This window comes from Homo sapiens, chromosome X, assembly GCF_000001405.40.
Source record: "Homo sapiens chromosome X, GRCh38.p14 Primary Assembly".
In the NCBI taxonomy this organism is placed as follows: domain Eukaryota; kingdom Metazoa; phylum Chordata; class Mammalia; order Primates; family Hominidae; genus Homo; species Homo sapiens.
In genome coordinates, this window is record NC_000023.11 from 41,300,951 (window position 1) to 41,313,804 (window position 12,854).

Sequence of the window (12,854 nt, forward strand, 5' to 3'; positions counted from 1 at the left end):
GCCTCATCCAAGCAGCTGAAGGCCTGAATAGAACAAAAGGGCTGATACCCCCATATAAGAGGGAATTTCTTCTTCCTATCTTCAGGCTGGGACATTGTTTTTTCTGTCTTCAGACTCAGACTGAAACATTGGCTCTTCCTGGGTCTCCTGCTTGCTGAGTCACTCTGCAAATCTTGGGCCTTGTCAGCCTTCATAATCATGTGCCCCAATCCTACTGGTTCTGTTTCTCTGGAGAACCCTAATATGCTGGATAAATAAACAACTCCATTCCTGTATAAATACCCCAGTGGGCCCCGTGATTTTCAGCTCAGTCTTAGGTAATAGTCTCATAGATCCTCAAAGACACAAATGTAGCCTCTCCCATAATTAGAATAACCAGTCTAAGAGATTCTTTATAACTTCTCCTCTCCCCAACTCTGGCCTGCTTCCAGTTGGAATCCTCCAGCAGGAAGTGGGCAGGAAGTGGATGTGGCTGGCTTCCTATTTCTCCACCTTGTACTTCCTTCTCCTTCCCTCCATCCCTACTAGCTTCTGAGTGTGGGGAATGGGTGGAGGGCGGAGTGGTAAGGGAATGGGCAAGGCCTCCCTTGGCCAGGTTCTCTCTGAGCCTGGCAGGTGTCTAAAGCTGACTCTCTGTCCCCTGGGAGTTTTTATGGGCTCTTCAAAGATTCTCATGGCTCGGGGATCTCCCAAGCTTGTGAATACAGAGGCATGAGTGTCACCTTCCTCAGCCCTGGGCACTGGGCAAGTACCCTCTGGCTTCTTTATGCTGAGGCCTCCCCAGCCCCCAGAAGTCCTCTTGAGCAGCCTCTCAGACAACTCTAGGGAGGCTGCCTCCTGTGGAGTTAAAGGAAACAGACAAGTTTTCTCCCAGTGTCCTGTGGAAGGGTCGGGTGATTCCAGTGTGGCAGCACTCCCCTGTCTTGGCCACCATGGTAGTGAGCCAGCCGTCATTTACCCTTTATTTATTTTGATTAAAAATTTTTTTTTTTCCTGAGACAGAGTCTCACTCTGTCACCTAGGCTGGAATGCAGTGGTGCGATCTCGGCTCACTGCAACTTCTGCCTCCTGGGTTCAAGTGATTCTCCTGCCTCAGCCTCCCTAGTAGCTGGGATTACCTGCGTGTGCCACCACACCTGGCTAATTTTTGTGTTTTTAGTAAAGACAGGGTTTCACCATGTTGACCAGGCTGGTCTTGAACTCTGGCCTCAAGTGATCCACCCGCCTAGGCCTCCCAAAGTGCTGGGATTACAGGTGTGAGCCACCACGCCCAGCCCATCATTTACCCTTTAGAAGTCCCAGGTAGGAGTTGACCCCAGTCTACTTCACCACAGCCTGCTTTAGTCTTCTCAAGCGTGGGTCTGACAGGGTCCCCCATGATTCCAGACAGCGGCACCTCCCTCAGCGTCATGAGCACCTCTCACTCTGGCCCTGGGGCTTCTTTGTGGCTGCCTGGGTTGGGAGACTCCACCTCAGCATTCTGAAGCTTGTGCAAACACCCCGAGGGCAACCCTCGGCTGAGTGGGGCTGGGAGCCATAGATAAATACTGTCCTGTTCCACCCTTCAGGCAGAGAATTCTGAGAGTCGTTTACATGGCCTGGGAAAGTCCCCAGTGATAGCAAGCCCCAGTTACCTACAATAATGAGGAGCTCGGATCAGCTTTCCCTCCTCCCCTGTTTCACTCTTTCCTGTCCCTCGCTCCTGTCCCTTGGGACCATTCCAAGAAATCAATTAACTGTAAAGAAGCCCTCCTTTGAGGGCCAGGGTAGGGAGAGTGGGGGTGAGGAGACAGGCTCAGACGGATCCCTCATTAGACTTTGGTTAAGAGGTAAAACCTTCCCACATACATCCTTCCCCATATAACCTTTCATTTTAAGGGCTTGGGTGGGGTCTTAGACACCACAGCTACTACCCCTTCCCCCTAAATCTCTTCCTCTATTTCCCCTTTCTCGCTCTCTGACCTTTCCTATCTTTGATCTGGCTGAGACCCTCCAGAGTCGCTGAACAGGCCCGGGAACCATTTCTTTTGTAAATCTATATATGGCGATTTGGCACCTGACTCTGAAATTTCACATTTATTGTAGCTCAGTGTCTCTGTAGAAGCTTCCATTTTTATATCCTGTTACACACTGATCATTCCACCCAGAGTTCCTCTTCCAGAAAACGCTGACACCTAGTTTTTTTAGTGTCTGTTACACAAGTTCCAGTTTTCCTGTCATCCCGGTCCATCCCTCTGGTCCTGTTCTGAGCTGGGTTACTAACGTCAGTCTTAAAATATGCCCACTCCCTGCCCACTGCCAGCGAAGCCAATGAGGCACACTCCACAAAAGACCTGACTGGCAAATAGTCGATGACTACCTCTGCCTGAATACTATGCAGCTATAAATGCAGCCTCATCTTGTCCTCGTTTTAGCAGCCACATCATCTGGCTACATAGTAACTGCTGATTCCTATTTCCTAATGCCTGCCGGACATTTCCACTGGGATGTCTTCAGGCTCCTCACATTAATAAGCCCACGATAGCTCATTATGTCGTCCCACAGAGCTCTGCCTCATGTATTTGTGGTCTCGGAGAATGGAGTCACCCAATCTCCCAGGCTAGCCACCTCAGAGACTCTCGTAAAGACTCCAGCCCCTCCAGCCTCCCCATCCAATTCCACCTCTCCCCGATCCTCTGGGTTCTATAGCTTGAACGAGTCTCCAGCCCCACTACCTCAGTTCACGTCCCATCACTCCAACAGCCTCCTATCTGGTACCCCTCTGACCTCCAAGGGGTCTTATCTTTCTCTGAGTCGATTCAGATCTTGTCGCTTTTTGGTTTAGAAACTTTTGTGGCCTTTCCATCGGCCGTATGAGCAGCTAGCTTTCAGTTCACAGGTAAGAACTATAATAAAAGTATTCACAAATCAGCTCTAAGACCTTTCCCCAGCCTCAACTGGGGCACATATACAATGCCCCTGACCTTCCTCGAAGGTCACGATCTTGGGTCCAGTGGGACTAAGGTTTGAAGCTCTACTTTCCTCTTCATTTCTGCCACCAAGTCTCTGAATTCCTGCCTCTGACAGTAACCCCGTGACTGTGGTTCTCCAGTCTCCAGTCATTACTCTCGGCTCTCATCATTCTCTTCCTATGTTGAGTCAGGTTTCTCAATGATAACTGCCTGCTATTAATTTTCAAAGTCCCAAGCATCCTACTGGCTGCATCCAAATAACAGTCATCTGAGTATATAGTCCCCAGTCCCCTGGGGAGCAGCAAGTGGCCAAAGCTCATTAAGAAACTACAGAAGTGGCCTGCAATGTTCACTCTTCCTACCTGCTTTGAGGGCAGGATTCCAGAACACAGTGATCTTCTCCACCTACTCTTTTCAGTTGTTGATGTTGTCCTGAGAGACTCAACTCCGGCACATCAGAGTACCTACATGAGTCCATTGATATTCTGAGGACAGGCCCCACCTGCTCTTGGAGTGGTCAAAGGGCTGGCGGTGGGGGAGAAGGCCGGGGACTCCAGCACCACTGGAGAATGTGCCAAGAGCCAACCAAATCAGCCGGGTGCGGTAGCTCACGCCTGTAATCCCAGTACGGTGGCAAGCGCCTGTAATCACAGCTACTCGGGAGGCTGAGGTAGGAGAATTGCTTGAACCCAGGGGTCAGAGGTTGCAGTGAGCCGAGATCACACCACTACACTCCAGCCTGCGTGACAGAGTGAGACTCCATCTCAAAACAAAACAAACAAACTAACAAAAAAACAAGAGCCAATCAAATCTATATACAGGGTGGAAGCCACCCAGACTGTGGATGAACAGTTCTGAACTCAGGGCCTATGAACCCCTAGGTTGTGAATACCCAGAAATTATAGGTAAAATCTGATAATATATATATTGGCACTTCTGGAAAGAAGATCCACAATTCTCATCACATTCTCAAAGGAGTCTGTGACACAAATGAGGTTCAGGAAAGGAGAACAAAGTGGCCCTACAGAACAATTATTTTGTTAGAATATGTTTCTTCCTGATTACAAAAACAATCATGTTCATTGGAAAATTGGAAAATAAGACGAGCACCAAGAAGACTGTAAAATCAGCACAGGCTGGGCGCAGTGGCTCACGCCTGTGATCCCAGCACTTTAGAAGGCTGAGGCGGGTGGATCACCTGAGCTCAGGGGTTCAAGACCAGCCTGAGCAACATGGTGAAACCTCATTTCTACCAAAAATACAAAAAATTACCTGGGGTGGTGGTGCACACCTGTAATCGCAGCTACTTGGGAGGCGGAGGTGAGAGGATCACTTGAGCCTGGGAGGCAGAGGTTGCAGTGAGTGAAAATGGCACCACTGCACTCCAGACTGGGTGACAGAGTGAGACCCCATCTCAAAAATAAATAAATAATTAATTAATTTTTAAAAATCAGCCCTGATTCTATCATCCAGAGATAACTATGTCAATATTTTTGTGTGTATCCCTCCAGTCCTTTTTCTGTGCACACATAAACACACGTTATCCTTCTAAACCTGGGGAAGATGCTCCTTTGTGATCTGCTTCCGTCTACTTCAGATATCATGGACAATTTTCCAGGTCATTAAATATCCTTCTACAACTTTAATGACTTAGATCAGTTCATAGTATTCGATCATTTCGGTGCCTTATTTTATATTGCTTTCCGGTATTTTTTGCTATTATAAATAATGTTGGGAAAAATATCCTCTTACATACACTTTTTAAAAAAGAGATGGGGGATCTCACTATGTTGCCCAGGCTGGCCTTGAACTCCTGGGCTCCAGTGATCCTCCTGCCTCAGCCCTCCTCATAGCTGGTACCTACAGGCATGCACTATCGTCCCTGGCTTTACATACACTTTAAAAAATATTTCTTTGTTTTCTTTTAATACAGTTCTAGAAGTGGAGGGGTTTTTTTGGTGGGGGGGATTTTTTTTTTTTTTTTTTTGATGGAGTCTTGCTCTGTTGCTCAGGCTGGAGTGCAGTGGCGCGATCTCGGCTCACTGCAACCTCTGCCTCCCAGGTTCAAGCGATTCTTCTGCCCTAGCCTCCTGAGTAGCTAGGACTACAGGCGCATACCACCACGCCCAGCTAATTTTTGTATTTTTAGTAGAGACGGGATTTCACCACGTTGGCCAAGATGATCTCGATCTCTTGACCTCGTGATCCATCCACCTCAGCCTCCCAAAGTGTTAGGATTACAGGCGTGAGCCACTGTGTCTGACCAGAAGTGGAGTTTTTGAATGACAGAGTATAAACACTTTTAAGGATTTTGTATTGAAAAACTATTCTCCATAAAGTTGACTGCAATTTATTCTCCTACCACCAATTTATGAGAATACTCACTCCCTTGCATCCTCTTGCAACCAATAGTTGTTGGGTGTTATCTTTTCAGGAGGAGGGAGGGGAATGTTTTCAATCTGGTAGGTAATACAGCACATTTCAGGTTTTACTGAAGCCCTGTGTGGAAGCTGGTCAGGACTGCAGCTGTGGACTACATGGTTAACATTGCCTGAGTAGGCCAGGCGCCGTGGCTCACGCCTGTAATCCCAGCACTTTGGGAGGCCGAGGCAGGCAGATCACCTGAGGTCAGGAGTTCGAGACTGGCCTGACCAACATGGAGAAACCCTGTCTCTATTAAAATTACAAAATTAGCTGGGCATGGTGGTGCACGCCTGTAATCCCAGCTACTCGGGAGGCTGAGGCAGAATTGCTTGAACCTGGAAGGCAGAGGTTGCAGTGAGCCAAGATCGCGCCATTGCACTCCAGCCTGGGCAACAAGAGTGAAACTCCGTCTCAAAAAAAAAACAAAAAAAAAACATCGCCTGAGGATTTTCCCCAGAGTTTTGGCAACCCTCTGACAGGTGCTATTCAATAGAAGATGGCTCTGCTTTTCTTTGCCTGCATAGCAGACCTGGAGACATGGCAACGGCTTAATTTCCAGGCAATGACTAGTTTAGAGTCCATGAGATTGAGTGGCAGCAATAAATATTTGGTGGCTCTTTAAAAAGATTCCCTCCCCTCGCCCCGGTTTAAGTCAAAATTTCTTTCTTTTCTTTTTTTTTTTTTTTTGAGATAGAGTCTCGCTCCATCGCCCAGGCTGGAGTGCAATGGCACGATCTTGGCTCACTGCAATCTCCGCCTTCCCAGGTTCAAGTGATTGTCCTGCCTCAGCCTCCTGAGTAGCTGGGATTACAGGTGTGCACCACCACGCCTGGCTAATTTTTTTGTATCATTAGTAGAGACAGGTTCTGCCATGTTGGCCAGGCTGGTCTCAAACTCCTGACCTCAGGTGATCTGCCCACTTCAGCCTCCCAAAGTGCTGGGATTACAGGCGTGAGCCACTGTGCCCAGCATAAGTCAAAATTTCTATGTCTTGTGAAAGTTTTAAGAATTGTGGCTCATCCCTTGGCTGGGCGCGGCGGCTCACACCTGTAATCCCAGCACTTTGGGAGGCCTAGGCGGGCGGATCACGAGGTCAGGAGATCGAGACCATCCTGGCTAACACGGTGAAACCCCGTCTCTATTAAAAATACAAAAAAAATTAGCCGGGCATGGTGGTGGGCACCTGTAGTCCCAGCTACTAGGGAGGCTGAGGCAGGAGAATGGCGTGAACCCGGGAGGCAGAGGTTGCAGTGAGCCAAGATTGCACCATTGCACTCCAGCCTGGGTGACAGAGCAAGACTCTGTCTCAAAAAAAAAGAAAAAAAGAATTGTGGCTCATCCCAAAGCCCCCCTGGCATGCACCAGTTTTCTGGATAATTTGAGGAAAAATGAACCTGTGTGAATAAAAATTATTCATAATTAACAAATATCTGCCTAAAGACATGTCTTATTCTACACAGTGGACATGTTGGGGACTCCAGAAATTTGCATGTAACTGAAATCCTATTTTTTATTAAAAAATTCTTTTAAAATTTACATACAACTTACATTTCTCTATTTTTAACTTCTCTAGGATTACCCTCAAAAGTAAGCCCAAGGCCCAGCACCGTGGCTCACACCTGTAATCCCAGCACTTTGGGAGGTGAGAGGATCACTTGAGCCCAGGGGTTTGAGACCAGTCTGGGCAACACAGTAAGACTCCATCTCCACACAACAAAAAATAAAGTAAGGCCGGGCGTGGTGGCTCACGCCTGTAATCCCAGCACTTTGGGAGGCCGAGGTGGGCGGATCACAAGGTCAAGAGATCAAGACCATCCTGGCCAACATGATGAAACCCCGTTTCTATTAAAAGTACAAAAATTAGCTGAGCGTAGTGGCGCACGCCTGTAATCCCAGCTACTTGGGAGGCTGAGGCAGGAGAATCGCTTGAACCTGGGAGGCAGAGGTTGCAGTGAGCCGGGATTGTGCCACTGCACTCCAGCCTGGCAACAGAGTGGGACTCCATCTCAAAATAAATAAATAAATAAATAAATAAATAATAAATAAAGTAAAATAAAATAAAGCAAGCCCAGGGTGATTCTTTTATAAAGTAAGTAATAATTTATGTTGCAAATTCACATTTTTGCCTAGCTAGAGTGCTGGAAGTCACTTATTCAGTTAATTCACTCACCTAACATCGTTACCTCACATAGGGTGCCTAACACTGTGTTCAGAGTTGTAGAAGGGATTTTGATTTTTGTTTTGGGTCTCAGTCTTGTCCCTTGGAGCTTTTTTTTCTTTTTCTTTTTGTTTTATTTTTTGAGACAGAGTCTCACTCTGTTGCCCAGGCTGGAGTGCAGTGGTGCGGTTTCGGCTCACTGCAACCTCCGCCTCTCGGGTTCAAGCAATTCTCCTGCCTCAGCCTCCTGAACAGCTGGGATTACAGGCGTGCGCCACCAAGCCCAGCTAATTTTTGTATTTTTAGTAGAGATGGGGTTTCGCCATGTTAGCCAGGCTGGTCTGAAACTCCTGAGCTCAGGTGATCTGCCCACCTCGGCCTCCCAAAGTGCTGGGATTACAGGCATGAGCCACCACACCTGGCTATGGGGCTTTAATGAGGAGTGTGGCAGAGTTCCCTGACAGCCGTGCCCCTACCATGCTGGGCTTGTGGACAGGCAAGAGTGGGTGTCACAGGCTGGGTGTACTGCTCTCCCTCTTTCCTGCTGGGGGCACTGCTGCTGTCACAACTCTTCCTTCCTCTTCCCTTTGGGTACCAATAGCCGAAGGGCACAGCTGAGGGAAAGCAGACACATGTGGACAGTAACCCCAGACGTCACCAGCCCAGACAGCAGTGATCCCGACTTGGCCAGTGATGTTAACCAGCAGTTTCTGTTTAAGTGGAAAATAGTTCCTAAAGGGAAGCTCCTGCCCTTCTATGGTTCACAGTAGGGCTAAGGGTTAGACTGGTGGACACAGCATGGCATAGGGAAAAACAGCTCAGTCCCAAACCAACACAGAGCCTGCCTGAAATGCCCGCATTGACTTTGCTTTTCAGTATTTCAATGTCATGCACAAAATCCAAGTTCATGATGTGTGTAGCTCAATGGAAAGAAGCAAATGAGCAGGCAGGAGTCAGATACAAATGGGGTGTGTCCACAAAATGTCATTTTGAAGTTTGTGGTTTGGCATTTGGAATGCATTTTCCTAGAGGAAAACAGAACTATGTTAAATGGATATTAGATTCCTAGACTAGACTTCAAAATTCTATATAACTCATAACATGGCTAAATACCCTCTCTGGTTTGTTTTTGTTTTTTTCTTTTTTTGAGATGGAGTTTTGCTCTTGTTGCCCAGGCTGGAGTGCAATGGCGTGATCTTGGCTCACGGCAACCTCCACCTCCCAGGTTCAAGCAATTCTCCTGCCTCAGCCTCCTGAGTAGCTGGGATTACAGACATGTGCCACCACGCCCGGCTAATTTTGTATTTTTAGTAGAGACAGGGTTTCTCCATGTTGGTCAGGCTGGTCTCGAACTCCCGACCTCAGCTGATCTGCCCGCCTTGGCCTCCCAAAGTACTGGGATTACAGGCTTGAGCCCACCAACCTGGCGTATACCGTTTCTTATAATGAAAAATTAGTAGTAAACAAAATGTCTGTAATAATAATTTTAGAAAACAAAGAAAAACAATTTCCGAACAGAAAATAAGAGTTTTGGCCAGGCGAGGTGGCTCACGCCTGTAATCCCAGCACTTTGGGAGGCCAAGGTGGGCGGATCACGAGGTCAGGAGATGGAGACCATCCTGGCTAACACAGTGAAACCCCGTCTCTACTAAAAATACAAAAAAATTAGCCGGGCATGGTGGCGGGTGCCTGCAGTCCCAGCTACTCGGGAGGCTGAGGCAGGAGAATGGCTGGAACCCGGGAGGCAGAGCTTGCAGTAAGCTGAGACTGCGCCACTGCACTCCAGCCTGGGCAACACAGCAAGACTCCATCTAAAAAAAAAAAAAAAAAGAAAAAGAAAAAAAAGAAAGAAAATAAGAGTTTTTATTTGTTTATTTTTTGAGACAGAGTCTTGTTCTGTCACCCAGGCTGGAGTGCAGTGGCATGATCTTGCTTCACTGTAACCTCCGCCTCCTGGGTTCAAGCTATTCTTGAACCCGGGAAGGGATTCAGGAGGCCTCAGCCTCCCGAATAGCTGGGATTACAGGCATATGCCACCATATCCAGCTAATTTTTTTGTATTTTTAGTAGAGACGGGGTTTCACCATGTTGGCCAGGCTTGTCTCGAACTCCTGACCTCAAGTGATCCGTCCACCTCAGCCTCCCAAAGTGCTGGGATTACAGACATGAGTTACTGTGCCTGGCCAAGAGTTTTTATTTATCTGAAACACTAGTGCTTATAGAAACCAGACCTCATAGAAAAGGAAGGAAGAAGCCGTTAACTTTTGGGAAGATTTTGATCAGGTACTTCCGGTAACTTTCAAAATGTAGGGCTTGAAATCATTGGCTCTTTTTGTCTAATTTTATTTACAATTTATGGCCTTTCTTTTTAAAATACCGCTGTATAACTAAAACCACTTTGGTTTAACACCAGCAGTGATCGGAGGGTAGGGTTTTGGAGTTAAAAGCAGGAGAGATTTTACTGAGGTAAAATTAAACATTTTTAAAAATTTACCAAGTACTGTTGGAAAGAAGCCATAGAAGATAAAGATAAAAGGTGAAAGTGGTCAGGTGCGGTGGCTCACGCCTATAATCCCAGCACTTTGGAAGGCAGAGGCAGGCAGATCACCTGAGGTCAGGAGTTTGAGACCAGCCTGGTCAACATGGTGGAAACCCGTCTCTACTAAAAATACAAAAACGTTAGCCGGGCATGGTGGCGGGCACCTGTAATCCCAGCTACTTGGGAGGCTGAAGCAGGAGAATCGCTTGAACGCAGGAGGCAGAGGTTGCAGTGAGCGAAGATCGCACCACTGCACTCCAGCCTGGGCAACAGAGTGAGACTCCGTCTCAAAAAGAAAAAAAAATGGTGAAGGTGGACACGAGTGAAAGAAGACTGTCTAAGGTTAATTACTGTGCCCTGAGTGGTGAAAGATGGCGGTGAGCAGAGAGAATGGTGAAGGTAAGGAAGGTTCAGGCCCGCCAGTGCCCAAAGCATGAAGAATGGTTCTATGAGCACTCCTGAGAGCTTGGGTGCCTTACCTAGAGTGTTGAGGAAGGGCTAGAAGGCACTGTGTGTATCCAGCCATTCATATTTGAGACCTGCTTTAATGCCTGGCGTTTGAAACTTAGGGCGTGTCTGCTCTGTAGTACTAGACTATAGGAGCTAATCTCTAAAGATGGCCACCCCGCAATGGACTGCTATTCATTCCTTTGGATGCTGGCTGACCCTGGGACTTGCTTTTTGGCTAAGAGAATCTCTTGGACTGATACTGCATGACTTCTAAGGCTAGGTCCTAAGAAGTCTTGTAGCTACCACCCAGATCTCCTAGAACATCATTCGCTCTAGGGGAAGCCAGCTGCTATGCTGGCTTAGGGAAGCCCGACTACTCTGACGGTTACCTTGTGAGGAAGCTGTTTTCCAGCCACTCCAGACACTCCAGACATGTGACGAAAGAAGATTCAGATAAGTCCAGCTTTATCCACCATCTGACCACAACCAAATTCAGATGCTCAAGGAAGAACTTCGCAGCTGAGCCCGTTATCCCCGAGAACTGTGAAGAATAATAAATAGGCTGGGTGCGGTGGCTCACGCCTGTAATCCCAGCACTTTGGGAGGCCGAAGCAGGCGGATCACAAGGTCAGGAGTTCGAGACCAGCCTGGGTAATGTAGTGAAACCCTGTCTCTACTAAAAAATACAAAATTTAGCGGGGCTTTGTGGTACGTGCCTGTAGTCCCAGCTACTCAGGGGGCTGAGGCAGGAGAATCGCTGGAACCCGGGAGGCGGAGGTTGCAGTGAGCCGAGATTGCATCACTGCACTCTAGCTTGGGAGACAGAGTGAGACTCCGTCTCAAAAATAAAAAACAAATAAAAAAATAAATATATAAAATAGTCATTCGAAGCCACTGAATTTTGGAGGTGGCTTTTACACAGCGATAGCTAACTGGAACTCGAGTTAAGCCCTAAACTTGCTTTCCTACCAAGCTCACCAGCATTTCAGTTCCATCTACTCCCATGAAGATGTGTTGACCCACCCCAACCTGCTTAGTGGGAGGGAACATTAAGAATCTCCCAGCATGCCAGATGCAGTGGCTCACACCTGTAATCCCAGCACTTTGGAATGCAGAAGTGGGAGGATCACTTGAGCCCAGGAGTTCGAAACCACCCTGGGCAGCATAAGGAGACCCTATCTCTACAAAAAAATTTTAAAATTAGCTGGGCATGGTGGCAGGCACCTGTGGTCCCAGCCACTCAGGAGGCTGAGGTGGGAGGATCACCTGAGCCTGGGAGGTTGAGGCTGCAGTGAAATGTGATCCTGCCATTGCACTCCAGCCAGTGTGACAGAGCAAGAAAAAAAAAGAAAAGAGCAAGAAAAAAAAAAAAAAAAGAATCTCCTAGCACACTCAGCCTTCAGACCTCAATTAGTTTCTCCTTAAATCTTACTCACAGGACCTTTGCTAGGTTAGAAGTCTAGAGATTATAATTAAGAAAAAGAAATAAGTCATAAAGACCACGAGCTCTTGAGTGAGGTTCATCCTGGAAAGTAACCAAGGTAACATTAGCTACTTGTAGCAGTCTGGTGGGGCAGCCTTGGTGGAACCTGGAGGTAATTCTGGGCCAATGATCCAGAGCTGACTGAAAAATTGTTTCCTATCTCTATAGTGAAAATCTCTTATGTTTCTGTATCATGTCTTTTTTTTTTTTTTTTTTGAGAGAGTCTCACTCTGTTGCCCAGGCTGGAGTACAATGGTGCGATCTCTGCTCACTGCAACCTCCACCTCCCGGGCTCCCCACCTCCTGAGTAGCTGGGATTACAGATGCCCACCACCATGCCCAGCTAATTTTTGTATTTTTAGTAGAGATGGGGTTTCACCATGTTGGCCAGGCTGGTTTTGAACTCCTGACCTCAAATGATCCGCTTGCCTCGGCCTCCCAAAGTGCTGGGATTACAGGCGTGAGCCACCGTGCCCAGCCTCTATCGTGTCTTCTAAGAACCAGTTGCTTCTAGAGACATAGAGCAGGGCAGGTGTCTGTTTTTCAGAGACTAGCTTAAGGAATTGGGTAACGAAAGACCTTCTGGGCACATTGCCGGAGATTTCTTGTGCTGTGTAAATGACTTGAACAGAGCAGTGATTTTCCAGATGAGTTGTCAGTGGGTTGTTGTTGTTTCTTATGACAAGGCTGGTAGACTCATGGTTGAACAATTACACAAATTCAGTCAGTCATGGTAACACAGCCACTGAGGTGATGGAGTTTCACTAATTCCTCCCTGTCAGAAGAATGAAGCATGTGATTATGTTAGACGAACTGATAAGACCCAGAGTTTGAAGCCAGGGGAGGTGT

General features: G+C 47.4%; 2 annotated features.

The window, feature by feature from the left end:
* Positions 3,109–3,672: an enhancer, noted in NCBI's record as "NANOG hESC enhancer chrX:41163312-41163875 (GRCh37/hg19 assembly coordinates)". NCBI's record gives its function as "activates a minimal SCP1, AML or CMV promoter by ChIP-STARR-seq in primed H9 embryonic stem cells {active_cell/tissue: H9 hESC(primed)}" and the evidence as "EXISTENCE:reporter gene assay evidence [ECO:0000049][PMID:30033119]".
* Positions 4,861–5,066: a silencer, noted in NCBI's record as "fragment chrX:41165064-41165269 (GRCh37/hg19 assembly coordinates)". NCBI's record gives its function as "represses an EF-1alpha promoter that drives an FKBP-Casp9 reporter gene in an ReSE screen in K562 erythroleukemia cells {active_cell/tissue: K562}" and the evidence as "EXISTENCE:reporter gene assay evidence [ECO:0000049][PMID:32094911]".